At 45.2% G+C, this 15340-nt stretch overlaps 1 protein-coding gene and 1 long non-coding RNA gene across 10 annotated transcripts in view; both read right to left on the reverse strand.

Moving 5' to 3' along the window:
- DIP2C (disco interacting protein 2 homolog C) overlaps positions 1-15340 on the reverse strand; it is a 415468-nt gene that overhangs the window by 53758 nt on the left and 346370 nt on the right. For all 9 annotated transcript variants that reach the window (NM_014974.3, XM_005252427.5, XM_005252426.4 and 6 more), the window contains 2 exons: positions 13241-13371; positions 1475-1643 (listed from right to left, as the gene is read on the reverse strand). In NM_014974.3, coding sequence (NP_055789.1) covers positions 1475-1643; positions 13241-13371 — 300 coding nt within the window. The remainder of the gene's footprint in view (positions 1-1474; positions 1644-13240; positions 13372-15340) is intronic.
- LOC124902362 (uncharacterized) lies at positions 7067-13234 on the reverse strand. The gene is made up of 2 exons (XR_007062030.1): positions 12821-13234; positions 7067-7894 (listed from the first exon to the last, which is right to left on the reverse strand). It is a non-coding gene; the product is annotated as an uncharacterized LOC124902362 (long non-coding RNA).

The raw sequence follows: 15340 nt of genomic DNA on the forward strand, positions 1-15340 counted from the left end.
GAAAGTAAGGGAGCGACAGGAATGGCTTGTGAATGTGAAGGCGAGCCGTGAATGTCTGCGTCTTGGAGTGGAACCCAGAGCTGCTAAGGGGGCGGCCACCAAAACCCCAACCGTCAGGCCCTGCGAACCCTTTCAAGGCAGCCTCGGCACACGGACAACCGACAAGGGTCCTGAGCAAGGAGGACGCACAGCTCGAGCTGGCTTTGACATTCGTGCTCAGTGTACAGACACGACTGTACACACAGAGTTAAACAGGAAAAACTCAAGTCTGGGTGACACAAATTACATATTCACACGCGCGCACGTCTGAGAGGTAAAGCAGCATGCAGCTGCAACAGCAGGTCTGAAGCCAAAGATTCTAAATTTGGCTCCAGGTTCGTTCAGCCTAAGAACCTGGAAAGGTTGCTTAATTTCTCTATGACATAAGTTTCCTCAGCTTTAAAATGGAGACAATAAGGGCTCCTATTTCAGAGAGCTATTGTAAGGATGAAATGAATACGTAAATTGCATACTGACCCTCAACTATGTCATGATTTTATTCTGGTTATTTATATATGTGCCAACAGGAAGGTCATGAAAATGTACTCACTTTCTAATACAATATAGATGAACATGAATAGTGCTAACTTTTTCCTATATAAAAACTTAAAATGATTGCACAATTACTTATGTTACATAAAGTTATCTTGCATTTTGCTTTCCTGTCCAAGCTTTATGCATTAGGAAAACAATGCAGGACAGATAAATGTACTGTTCCGTTATTGATCTCTGTGTAGATGACAGAAACACAAACACAATCCATGTATATACAAAGACATACACACATCCAAAGAGTACAAAGTCAGTTGAAATTTTATCAAAACTGGTCAGATGATTATTCCCTCCTAGTTACTTGGAGCTAAGGACTACTTAATTTACCATGAAGATATACGTATCAAAATGTCCTTGGTTTAAATGGAGGGAAATACTATTATTCTTACATAATAGCAATTATTAAAAAATGAAACACAACACTGTTAACTGAACTGTAAAATGAATTGAGCTTAGGGTCCAGACCCAGAAATCAGGGTCTCCAGGGAAAATAAAAGTGAGCGGCTAAATTCAAACCTACCTTCTTAAACACCAGTATCAAATAAAGTTAACATCACCTAAGATCTTCTGAACACTGAACACTTCAGAACACTGAATCCACCCAACAAAAAATCAAATTTAGGATCTTTCAAGTAGACCCAGTGGAATGACAGGCATTGAAAATATTTTACATTCTGGTTCGTTACTGTCTGTGGTCGTGGGGAAATATTCACGTTAAAAAGATTTTCATATAAAGGCAGTTTGTAAGCTTCAGGTGACGTTAGATTAAACCCAGGCTTTGTTTTGGAGGACTGTTTTAACTTCACCCCATCACAGATGTGCCTTCTTAGAAAGGAGTCCCTGTGGGCTCACAGGGCACTGAGCTGCCAAGGGAGCTGCTTACCTTGAGGGACTCTGTTTGCGAGCCCAGCCCCTTGGTGCACAGCTCCATCACGGAGTAGGAGCAAAACGTGTCTCGGACTTTGTACTGACTCACGGCAAGAAGCCACAAGGCGGGGTTGGTTTCCAGCTCAGAGGGCGGGATCAGGATGGACTGGTGCCCAGAATACACACTGCAGAGAAAGAAGAGGCTGTCAGGGCGGGAGCTCAGCAAGGCTGGAGCTCAGCAAGGCTGGAGGGCTCAGGGCAGCACTGACTCCAAGGAAAAGGAGGACTTGGAACAGCCCGTGCTGCCATCTGTAGAAGGGCACAGTAAAGCCAACGCTGCAAACTGCAACCATGTTCACGAAAGCCTTCTGAAAAGCAAATACGTACTACAGAATCATGGGGCAGTTCCTACCACTTTGAACACACATTTAAGACTACTAAACGCTGTGATGCTGTGATGTCTCTCAGACCTGCGACATCAGCAAACTGGATCCTCTTTCTTAGTAGAAAACACAGGGATCAAATTTCGGTTTAAAAAAAAAAAGTCCAGCTTCAGAACAGGAGCTGGCAAACCACAGACACTTCCTGTTTTTGTAAATAAAGTTTTATTGGAACAGGGCCACCACCACTCATTTGTTTAAATATTGTCTCCAGTGGCTTTGAGCTGAGTGGTCAGAGACCACAGAACCTAAAATATTTACCAAACAGCAATTTAATAAAGAGCAGGCCTATACCTGGTTTAGAAAACTGACAGCCAGGGTGAAAAAAAGACAATTATGGTAATTAAAGTTAGTCACTCAATCTTTTTAAGATCAGATTTTTACTAAAAAGGATCCCAACGAATTACCAAACAGAAGAAATAGAGAAAAATAACGATTCTTTAATTTTACCTTCATACTAGAGAACAGATTTAGAGAAATGAAAAAGTGATAGATTACATATTTTATCAATTGATGGGGTAAGTGTGGATTTAACAACTTGTCAAAACTACATTTTTAATGGTTTTAATTTTGTTTACTACTATGAATTCACAATAGATACCATACATTAAAATAAAATATCCTAGATAAATCACGTTCTAAGATTTACAATTTAATTAACGGGAACGTTCTGTTGCCCAGGCTAGAGTAGGGTGGTGTAATCATAGCTACCTGTCACCTCAAACTCCTGGGCTCCAGCAATTCTCCTGCCTCTCCTGAGTCAGTAGGACCACAGGTGTGCACCACCATGCTTGTTTTTTTTTTTTTTCAGTGGTAGGGTCTATGTTGCCTAGGCTCATCTTGAACTTCGGGGCTCAAGCAATCCTCTCTTGTTCCTGCTGTGGCCATGTAAGATGTGCCTGGCCTCCCAAAGTGTTGGGATTACAGGCATGAGCCACCATGCCCAACCTACACAATTTTTTTTTTTTTTTTTTGAGACAGGGTCTCACTCTGTCACCCAGACTGGAGTGCAGTGGTGTGATCTGGGTTCATTATAACCTCTGCCTTTCAAGCTGAGGCCATCCTCCCACCTCAGTCCCTGAGTAGCTGGGACTACAGATGCACAACACTATGCCTGGCTAATTTTTTTTTTTTTTTTTTTTGTAGATACGGTTTCGTATTGTTGCCCAGGCTGGTCTCAAACTCCTGGCTTCAAGTACTCCTCCTATCTTAGCCTCCCAAAGTGCTAGGATTATAGGCATGAGCTGCCATAAGAGGCCTACGCAAAATTTTATCAGTGAAACAGCACTATGATTAACGAGTTAGGCCTTGTTAACTACTATGCTATAATACTAAAGCCAGTTCTTTAATGTAGCCAATCTCATCTAAAAATTTTCATAATTGTTTATAAGAGAATCCAACTAAAGAAATGTAAGGAAGTTAGGTTGGCTAACAAAATTTATTTCAAACGGGACCCTTAGTATGAAAAACTACTCTTCGGCAAATGTGACAAAGGCGTTTTTGGGCAATTTTCCATTTCTTTCCTCATTCTTATTCCAAAGCTTGATTTATTCTTTTCAAAAGGACACATAGCCCTCTGTGTCTGTGGGTTCCTCACCCCTGGCTTCAACCATGAATCAAAGATATTCATGAAAAAATCTGCATCTATACCTAACTTGTAGATTTTCTTATCATTAGTGACTAAACAACATAGTACAACTATTCACACAGCATTTACATTGTGTTAGGTATTACAAGTAATCCAGAAATTATTTAAAACATGAGAGAGGAAGTGCATAGGTGATGTGCTCGTATGATGCCATTTTATATCAGGGACTTGAGCATCCTCGCTCTTTGCTTTCTGCAGTGGTCCCGGAACCTATCTCCTCCGTGGACACCGAGGGACGACTTTCTAGCAAATAGTGACCTTTCCAAGGGTTTAATACTTTGAGAACAGGGTTAGGCACATAAGGGGTGAATATCAGGCCTCGAATTTTTACTCTGCTGTAAACTGGCCATTTCATCTTAGTTTTAAAAATTTTACTGTGGTAAAACATATGTAACATAACATTTACCATATTAACCACTTCTTTTCTTTTTTTCTGAGACAGAGTCTTACTTTGTCACCCAGGCTAGAGTGCAGTGGTGTGATCACAGCTCACTGTAGCCCTGACCTCATGGGCTCAAGTGATCCTCCCACTTCCCAAGTATCTGGGACTAGAGGCACGTACCACCATGACTGGGACTAGAGACTAGAGGCACATACCACCATGACTGGCTAACTTAAAACTTTTTTTGTGGAGATGGGGTCTCACTATGTTGCCCAAGCTGGTCTTGAACGCCTAGGTTCAAGCAATCCTCCTGCCTCGGACACCCAAAGTCATTTTAACCATTTCTAAGTGTCCCTGGAAGTGGCTTCCTCAAAAATACACATCAGCATTAATGATTTGCTCTGTCAGAATTGTCAGCACACAACGGGCTTGGGAACCCAGTGTGAATTCCTGGCCAGAGAATTTCAAATATACTTGTGAAAACTAAATATAGTTTCACCTCCCTCCTCATCACCATAAATAAGAAATCAACATTAAGAAAACACAAATCTTGACAGCAGAAACAAATAGAAAACCCAACTCATGATTTCCTAATTGCCCTTACCTCACTCAATACAGCAAATTTTGATTAATTGCTGTATTAGCCAAAATTGATTTTTGGCACTGGCAATAAATTCTGCTATGGACAAGACAAACCTACTTAAGAGCAGGTTGCTTATTCTCAAGACATTATTCTCTGAGAATGTTGGGAACCTGAGCTGTTCTTCAGATCTTAACTTCAAAAAGAATAAAAATAGACATTTTGGTAAGTAATACACATTCGCACATTAGCAATTTGATGATTTCAGATTACTAACCTGACAAAATATACCAACAACTGAAAACTCTCCTAACTTGGGAATTCAACAAGACAGGTTCATCTCACCTGGGGGTCCTGGGTCATACCCTGTCTGCCAGCAGGCATGCCATCCAGCCCAGGGTCTCCCTACACACTTGAGTTACTGCAATGAAGCACTTTATTATTTTTTATTGTTGAGACAGAGTCTCACTCCGTCGCCCAGGTTGGAGTGCAGTGGTGCATTCTTGGCTCAATGCAACCTCTGCCTCCTGGGTTCAAGTGATTCTCCTGCCTCATGCTCCTGAGTAGCTGGGATGACAGGCGTGTGCCACCACGCCAGGCTAATTTTTGTATTTTTAGCAGAGACGAGGTTTCATCATGTTGGCCAGGCTGGTCTCAAACTCCTGACCTCAAGTGATCCACCCACCTCAGCCTCCCAAAGTGCTGGGATTACCTGCATGAGCCACCGCACCCGGCCTATTCTTTTTAAAACACCCGTCGGCTTTATTTAGGTATACTTTGCATACCCTAAGTTTCACTCATTTTAAGCACAGAATGGCTTTTAATAAAATTGAAGAGTTGTAAAATGGTCACTACTCTAGAACATTCCCATCACCTGAAAGGGATCCCGTGTCCATCTGCAGTCAGTCCCATTTCCAGCCCTAGCCCCAGTCATCATTCTACTTTGTTTACAAATTTGCCTTTTCTGGACACTGCCTACCACACAGCCACACTTCCCTCCCTCAGCAGGTGCTTCTGAGCTCATCCTGTGCAGAAGCACCCACCATGTGGACGTGGCAGGCGTCACCTGTTCAGTCACCTGCTAGCGGATACCTGGATTGTTTCCTTGTGTTGACCGAGGTTCCAGGGAACTTACACCAAGTCTCTGAGTGGATGTTCGCTTTCCTTTCTCCTAGGAGTGCAGCTGCTGAGTCAATGCAGCAAGTCTGCTTAATTAAGATCATGCCAAACAGTGGCTTCCCCATTTTACATTCCCACTATCAATGTATGAGAATTCGTTTTTCCACCTTCTTGGTTACTGTTGCTTTGCAGTGTAAGTTTTGAAGTCAGAAAACACGAGCTCTCCAACTTTATTTCCTGTGTTTTCGGTGACAGCATTCTAGTGGGTGTGAAGTGGTATCTCACTGTGGTTTTAATTTGCATTTCCCTAATTAACGCTAGGTATCTTTTCACGTCCTTATTGGCCATTTGTATGTCTTCTTCTGGTGAGATATCTATTCAGATCTCTTGCCCGTGTTTATGTTGCTTGTTTCTGAGTTTTGAGTGTTTATTACATAGGCTGGGTGCAGTGGCTCACGCCTGTAATCCCAGCACTTTGGGAGGCTGAAGCGGGCAGATTACTTGAGGTAAGGAGTTCAAGACCAGCCTGGCCAACATGGCAAAACACTGTCTCTACTAAAAATACAAAAAAAATAGCCAGGTGTGGTGGTGCATGCCTGTACTTCCAGCTACTTGGGAGGCTGAGGCAGGAGAATCACTTGAACCTTGGAGGCAGAGGTGGCAGTAAGCTGAGATCAAGCTACTGCACTCCAGCCCGGGTGACAGAGCAAGACTGTCTCAAAAAAAAAAAAAAAAAAAAAGAAAAAATTTATTACATAGGTGCTTAGAAGTGCTTCATGAGATTTATAATTTGCAAATATTTTTTCCCAGACTGTGGCTTGTCTTTCTACTTAATTCTGTCTTTTGATATACAAAAGTTTTAAATTTTGTTCCAGTCCAGTTTATCAGTATTTATGTAGTATACCTTTGATGAACTCTGTGCCTAACCAAGATTATGAAAATTTACTCCTGTGTTTTCTAAAATTTTTATAATTTTTGCTCTTACATTAAGATCTATGATCCACTTGAACTAACTTAGGTATATGACGTTGAGTCAAGGTTTAATCTTTTTTCCTTTTCATGTGAATGTCCGAATTTCCCAGCATCTGTTGTTGGAAAAACTTTTCTTCATTGAATTGCTCGGGTAACTCTATTAAAAAATTATTTGACCATAAATATAAGGGTTTATTTCTGGACTCTCAATTCTGTTTCTCATATATATAATCACTCTATCTCAATGCCAGTACATTGTTCTGGTTATTGCAGCTTTGCAATATTTTTGAAATCAGGAATGAGAAGTTCTGAATTCTCCAATTTTGTTAACCTATTTTAAAACTGCTTTCACTATTGTGGGTCCTTTATATTTACTTCAGGATATTATCAATTTCTGCCCCAAAAAACCCCCAAAAAATAGCCTGCCAAGATTTTGGTAGGAATTACATTGAACCTATAAAGCAATGTGGGGAGAACTACCATTTTAATAATATTGAATCTTCCAATACATGAATACAGGCTATCTGACACAATTTTTAAAAACAGGTGTAATCTTAAAAAATATTTTGAAACAATACCATTATACTCATATGTCTCAGATAAACAATCCTCTATGACAGAAGAAAGCTTTAGGATGAGGACACAAATTATTTGTGTTACTTAACTTTCAAACAATCACAAAGTTATAGAAAATGTACAAGTACGTTTAAAATAATTCTCTCTCCTTGGATTATCTAATGGTGAATCACTGACCTGATGCGTAATCCCAGACACTTCAGGGGGGATTTCCAACAAACAAGTCTATTTTCCTCCATAAACACCTAAGCCATCAAAATCAGAAAACCAACGCATTCCTCCTGTCCCAGCTCAGACCCTGTTCAAGTTTCTCTAGCCATCCCCAATTACCCAGTTTGCACAGGCACACTGCAAGAAAGTGGTCGGCTCTCAGCTTCCCGCTGCCCAGAGCGAGTTTCTGGATGTTTCCGTGACTCTCACGACACCAGGCTTTGGGAAGATTCTAGGCAGGTGCATTGTCCAATCAGTCCCCTAACTTGGGGGCTGGTGCTTCCACATGGGGAGATCCAGGACAGGCATCTTCGGCAGGAGTATCGCGGATGCGGCTCTCTTCATCCCACCCGCTGTGTGCTACAGGCTTCACCATCACTGAGGTTTGCCTGGACCAGCTGGTTCAGGCTTTTCCACCATGAAGACTCTCTTTCCTTTAACTATTTCGTGGATGGCTACTATAGAAATCCTCACTTCTCATCAAGCTTTCCATTTGTTCATCTGTGTATCTGAATAGTTGGAAAATTTCCTATTTTACTCAAAGTGTTACAACCTGTTGCAATCTTTATTCTTGAGACAGGGTCTCGCTCTGTCACCCAGGCTTGAGTGCAGTGGCGTGATCTCAGCTTACTGCAACCTCAACCACCCAGGCTCAAGTGATCCTCCACCTCAGCCTCCCAAGTAGTTGGGACCACAGGCGCACACCACTACACCCGGCTAACTAAAAAAAAAATGTTTTTGTAGGCTAGGTGTGGTGGTTCATGCCTATAATTCCAACACTTTGGGAGGCTGAGGTGGGAGGATAGCTTGAGCCCAGGAGTTCAAAACCAGCCTGGGCAACATGGCAAGACGCCATCTCTAAAAAAAAATTTAAAAATCAGCATCCCTGAGGTCCCAGGATAGCGATGCTTTGGTCAAGGATGGGTCCGTGTACAATGGTGGTCTCATGAGCCTGTAACGAAGCTGAAAAATTTCTACTGCCTAGAGATGCTGAAGCACACCACGTTACTTGTGTTGGTGGTGGTAACTGGTCTAAACAAACCTGTGCTGCCAGTCATATAAAAGCACAGCACATACAATCATGTCTTCAGTTCTGTTTACACGATGAATCACATTTTTTTATTTGCATATGATACCTAGCATCTTAGAGATGAAGCCTACTTGGGCACGGTGGATTAGGTTTTTGATGAGCATATACAATTATGTACACAACTTAATACTTTAACCATGATGACAAACAACTGTTACTGGTTTATGAATTTACTGTACTTTGTTATTTTACAGCATCCTCCTACTTATAAAAAAGAAAGTAAATTGTAAAACAGCCTCAGTGGGTCCTTCAGGAGGGTCTTCCAGGAGAAGGTATTGTTATCCTAGGAGATCATGGCTCCGTCTGCGTCCTGTCCCTGAAGGCCCTCCAGTGGGACAAGAGGTGGAGGGGAAAACAGTGACACTGAACACCCTGGCCCTGTGGAGGCCTAGGCAGCTGTGTGTGTGTGTGTTGTGGAGGCCTAGACTGGTGTGTGTGCGCGTGTTGTGGAGGCCTAGGCAGGTGTGTGTGTGTGTGTGTGTGTGTGTTGTGGAGGCCTAGACTGGTGTGTGCGCGTGTGTGTGTGTTGTGGAGGCCTAGGCAGCTGTGTGTGTGTGTGTTGTGGAGGCCTAGGCAGCTGTGTGTGTGTGTGTGTGTGTTGTGGAGGCCTAGACTGGTGTGTGTGTGTGTGTGTGTGTGTTGTGGAGGCCTAGACTGGTGTGTGTGTGCGTGTGTGTGTTGTGGAGGCCTAGGCAGCTGTGTGTGTGTGTGTGTTGTGGAGGCCTAGGCTGATGTGTGCATGCGTGTGGTGGAGGCCTAGGCAGCTGTCTGTGTGTGCAAGTGTGTGTGGTGGAGGCCTAGGCCGGTGTGTGTGTGTTGTGGAGGCCTAGGCTGATGTGTGTGTGTGTTCTGTGGAGGCCTAGGCAGCTGTGTGTGTGTGTGCACGTGTGTTGTGGAGGCCTAGGCAGGTGTGTGCGCGCGTGTGTGTTGTGGAGGCCTAGGCAGCTGTGTGTGTGTCGTGGAGGCCTACGTAGCTGTGTGTGTGTGTTGTGGAGGCCTAGGCTGATTGTGTGTGCGTGTGTGTTGTGGAGGCCTAAGCTGATGTGTATGTGTGTGCTGTGGAGGCCTAGACAGTCTGTGTGTGTGTGCGTGCGTGTGTGTTGTAGAGGCCTAGGAAGCTGTGTGTGTGCTGTGGAGGCCTAGGCTGATGTGTGTGTGTGTGTTCTGTGGAGGCCTAGGCAGCTGTGTGTGTGTGCGCACGTGTGTTGTGGAGGCGTAGGCCGGTGTGTGTACGCGTGTGTGTTGTGGAGGCCTAGGCAGCTGTGTGTGTGTTGTGGAGGCCTAGGCTGATGTGTGTGTGTGTTGTGGAGGACTAGGCTGATGTGTGTGTGTGTTCTGTGAAGGCCTAGGCAGCTGTGTGTGTGCACGTGTGTCGTGGAGGCCTACGCAGCTGTGTGTGTGTGTTGTGGAGGCCTAGGTTGATGTGTGTGCACGTGTGTTGTAGAGGCCTAGGAAGCTGTGTGTGTGTGTTGTGGAGGCCTAGGCTGATGTGTATGTGTGTGCTGTGGAGGCCTAGACAGTCGTGTGTGTGTGTGCGTGTGTGTGTGTTGTAGAGGCCTAGGAAGCTGTGTGTGTGCTGTGGAGGCCTAGGCTGATGTGTATGCGTGTATATATTAGTTTTTAACAAAAGCTTCAAATGTTTTTTAAAATTTAATAGAAAGCAGCTTATAAAGGAGATAAATTATTTTTGTATAGTTGTATAATGTGTTTGTGTTATAAGCTAAGTGTTTTTATAGATGAGTCAAAAATGTTACAAATTAAAACGTTAAGGTTAAAAAGTTACAGTAAGCGAAGGTTAATTTATTACTGAAGAACTAAAAATATTTTTGACAAACTTGGCGTAGCCAAAGTGTCTGGTATTTACAGAGGCCACAATAGTGTGCAGTCGTGTCCTGGCCTCACGTTCAGGTGCCGCTTACTCACCAACTCGCCAACTCACCTGGGCAACCTCCACTCCTGCCAGCTCCAGTCATGGGAAATGCCCTACACAGTTTTTTTTTTTTTTTCCCACCTTCTATACCATCTTTTTACTGTACCTTTTCTGTGTTTAAATATGTCTCGACACACGACCACTTACCATCACGTTACCGCTGCCCACAGCATTCAGTGCACTAACACGCTGCACAGGACTGCGGACTGGGTGTGTCAGGCTGTACCAGCCAAGTCTGTGCAAGCAAACTCCATGTTTACATAATGAAATCGCCCATTTGGAACGTACCCCCATGACTAACGCCTGGCCGCACTGATTTCTAATTCCCCACACGGAGCCGATCTCCCTCGGCTGCTGCCGATTCTTAGAACAAGCTCTGACTCCCCCACGCTGCACCCTGCCTGGCTGGCACTGCCCACGCCACCTGCACGCTGCACCCTGCCTGGCTCCCACAGCCCACGCCACCTGCACGCTGCACGCTGCACCCTGCCTGGCTCCCACAGCCCACCCCACCTGCACCCTGCACCCTGCCTGGCTCCCACAGCCCACGCCACCTGCACCCTGCACCCTGCCTGGCTCCCACAATGCACCCTGCCTGGCTCCCACAGCCCACGCCAGGACACCCCTCTGTGGACTCCCCTCCTCCGACGTGGGCTTGGGCACCCTGCGCGGCTGCCCCCACCAAGACACACTCCCCACCCTGCTACACTCTTAGGAGCACAGCCTGAGGTCGAGGCGTCCTCAAATTTACACCCCCAGGGCCTCTTCTGCCTGATTCTCTTCCCAGACCTGCTGAACTGCATGGGAAAGGGAAGTCATTATTATTTTTAACTTATGTATTAGTCATTGTGGATCTAGGACCCAAGTGCTTTTTTTGTTTTTTAAAAGCAAGTCCATTGGGATCTGTTTCTATAGAGATTTTTTTCTTTTTTAATGGGAAGATTCATGGCTATATTTATTTTGACTGTTGCAAGGGCAATCAACAGAATACTGTGATCTTGTGACTTCTGAGTTAGTAACATTTTGCAGGAAAGATGCTTGTCAAATTTCATCGCAACCTGGACAAACCCTTAAAGAGTGTATTGTTATTGTGGGTTCACACGGAGAACTTACTTTCCCTGCAACAAACATCTTCTCTCTGGTTTCCATGGGGAGCCAGGCTTGGTAAGCCTGCAGGCAGGAGGCTTCCATCGGCTGGCTTCAGTTTTACTGGTATACTTTGCCAAATGAAATACGGTCACCCTACAAGGGCCGTTGTTCAGAACAGACCTCTGCCGTTCAGCTTGGCGCATATACCTGAGGCCATGTTCTGAGCGATTTTCCAAGAAAAAAAAATTTACTCACAATGTTATGGCATTTTGGATTGAGGCAAAAATCATTAAATATTTCATTTATTCAGTTTTATCTGCTTTCTCAAAAAGCTGAATTGTCCTAATTAGAATATCGGTATTTTTCAAAAATACAGAATTACATTTTAATACAACTTAATACTATTAAATATTAGTCACACATTAAAAATATTTGTTCCAGAAGAGTGTTGACAGGAGAAAAAAATCTGACTGGGTGCGGTGGCGCACGAGGGCGAGGCGGGCAGATCACTTGAGGTCAGGAGTTCAAGACCAGCCTGGCCAACATGGTGAAACCTTGTCTCTACTAAAAATACAAAAATTAGCAGGGCGTGGTGGCAGGCACCTCTAATCCCAGCTACTCGGGAGGCTGAGACATGAGAATCGCTGGAACCCAGGAGGCAGAGGTTGCAGTGAGCTGAGATTGTGGCACTGCACTTCAGCCTGGGTGACAGAGCAAGACTGTCTCAAAAAAAAAAAAAGATAAAAGATCCACTATAAATTTTGAGAAAATCATAACCAATTTCATACTGTAGCGTCTCAGTTTTATAAATATATTAACATATATTTATTCATAAAATGTGTAAAGAAGATTTATGAGTGAAATTATTTTTATGTTTGTGTTAGCTTTAAAATACCCATTTAAAAAAAAAGGGGGGAAAGCAGGCGGATAATACAAAACTGCTAAAATGCTGAAATGTGAAGCTGGATGATGGTCACGGGTGTTTATTACTGGACATGCTCTATGCTTACTTGCTTGAAAACGCTCCATTAGAAAATGAACTCTGAAAACTATATGCCCAATGCTAATAGTGGGTATTTATTGGTAACACTCTTTATCAGGTGCTATGATTGTTGATGGCTTTATTTTCTTCTTCATATTTTCTATAATTTCTACAATGAACATGTATGTATAATCAGACAAAAAAGCCAAGAAACATCCATAAGTTTTTCTGGTCATTCATTCATCCCATAAATACTTGCTGAGCACCTGCTGTAAGCCAGGCTCCGAGCCGGCTGCTGGGTAGAGTGCCGCACCCCAGGGAACGCTCAGCCCTCGTGGACTCACCTCTGGGCTTGCCCAGCCTAAGCCCCGCAGTAACAGCTGGGGTGAAGCCTGAGGGAGGTGACAGCCTGCAATGCCTGCTGGCCCAGCGAGAACCCAGGCCCAGCACCATCGCCAGGTTTTACAGGCATAAGAACCAAGCCTGGAGCCTGGGAGTCTTCTGATTGTCAGAAATAAAGGTCCGCAACAGACGGCTCTCCAAAATGCTCCTTCCCTGCTGCAGAAAGTCAAAGTCACCCCAGGTGCTGCTTTCCCCGAGAGCCAAGTCCACCAGGAGAAGTAGAGGGACACGGGTAAGCCCCAGGCCTCCTCTGGCAGGAGTGGGGGTGTGGGGGCAGTGCTTAGGTTGCCTGGCTGGGTCTAAGGTCTGGAGAGGAAGGTGCATGATTTTTTTTAATGTAAAGATATAGAGAGGCATCTTACCTGCAGAGGCACCAGAGGACAAATCCCAGTCCACAGTAAGGGTCCAGGCAGATGGCCACTTCTCTAGAGGGGTAAAGTTCACACTGCAGCTTAATGGAACGGCAGAAGGCACTGGTGGCTGCGTGAGACATCTGCAAAATACAAGGCTGTGTTAAACGCATCGGACCTGACACCCTCAGACACCCGGGACAATACGGGGCTGCAGGGAACGCAAGGCTGTGTTGAACGCATCGGACCTGACACCCTCAGACACCCGGGACAATACGGGGCTGCACTGAACGCAAGGCTGTTTTGAACGCATCGGACCTGACACCCTCAGAAACCCGGGACAATACGGGGCTGCACTGAACGCAAGGCTGTGTTGAACGCATCGGGCCTGACACCCTCAGACACCCGGGACAATACGGGGCTGCACTGAATGCATGGGACTTCATACCCAAGGATACCTACAAGACAATAAAGCCGCATTAAATGCGTGGGGCCTGACACCCAAAGACATCTTTAAGACAATAAGGCCAAATGAAATGTATGCTGGCCTGGTGCAGTGGCTCATACCTGTAATCAAAACACTTCAGGAGGCCAAGGTGGGATGGTCACTTGAGCCCAGGAGTTCCCGGCTGCAGTGAGCTATGATTACCACTGCACTCCAGCCTGGACAACGGAGTGAGACCCTGTCTCTTCAATAAATTTTAGAGAACAAAACCCAAAAGAACAACAAATGCACGATACCTGGCCCCAAAGGCCCAAAGCTGTTTTTAGGACTGGCGACAACTGTCACCAAGCTGGGCTATGTTGTGTCTGGGGAATGTGAGTGGCTGATATTTTCACTGGAGTTCTCATTTTCAATGAGTAAACCTCACTCAGAACTGTTGGTCCTCCAGGACCTAGCAACTCTAGCTATTGAAATAGTGCGTTTGAACAGCAAGTCATGGAGGAAGGGGTTCTCGTGTAACCCACTCTCTCTCTTTTTTTTTTTTTGAGATGGAGTCTTGCCCTGTCGCCCAGGCTGGAGTGCAGTGGTGCGATCTCCGCTCACTGCAAACTCCGCCTCCCAGGTTCACACCATTCTCCTGCCTCAGCCTCCCAAGGAGCTGGGGTTACAGGCGCCCGCCACCACGCCCGGCTAATTTTTTGTATTTTTAGTAGAGACAGGGTTTCCCCATGTTAGGCAGGATGGTCTCGATCTCCTGACCTCGTGATCCACCCGCCTCGGCCTCCCAAAGTGCTGGGATTACAGGCACGAGACACCGCGCCTGGCCTCGTGTGACCCTCTCTCTAACACACCGTCCCACAGGTAGGGGAGGCACCACGGTGCATTCCTCTGCTGGTCGAGGCCCTGTCTTATTCACGGCTATCTCCACGGCTGGACATAGCCTCTGCTGTGCAGCATGTGGCCAGCAAGACCTGCTGGGTGGCTCAGCTGTCTTAATGATCAGAAAGTGAAGGCTCACAGAAGTTAAAGATTTTGCTGCCTGTGACATAAGTTAGAGCTAGGAGTTAGAGCCCAGGTCCTCCTACACTCCAGGGCCCTTCACTATCTTCCACCATCCTGCATGGAGATGGTGGCTAAAATCCAATCATCCCATCATGACCAGACAGTGAAGAGCTTCCGCATCTTCCTCTTCCCTAATCCCTGTAATAGTCCCCCTACAGTCTGTGTGTAATGTCAATTATTTTGAAATACAATAAAATATATTAATAAGATCAATTTTCTCACAGAAGCTTTCTAGCCAAACAAACCTCAGAGGAAAAAGGAAGTCAAAGCAGCATACAAAATGGTCTGATTTTTGCGGTTTTAAAACACGTCACGGCTGGGCAAGGTGGCTCACGCCTGTGATCCCAGCACTTTGGGAGGCCGAGGCGGGCAGATCACAAGGTCAGGAGATCGAGAACATCCTGGCTAACACAGTGAAACCCCATCTCTACTAAACATACAAAAAATTAGCTAGGGGTGGTGGCGCATGCCTGTAGTCCCAGCTACTCAGGAGGCTGAGGCAGGAGAATCGCTTGAACCAAGAGGGCGGAGGTTGCAGTGAGCTGAGATCGCACCACTGCACTCCAGCCTGGGCAACAGAGCAAGACTCCATCTCAAACAAAAAA

Source organism: Homo sapiens, chromosome 10 (assembly GCF_000001405.40).
Source record: "Homo sapiens chromosome 10, GRCh38.p14 Primary Assembly".
Classification (NCBI taxonomy): domain Eukaryota; kingdom Metazoa; phylum Chordata; class Mammalia; order Primates; family Hominidae; genus Homo; species Homo sapiens.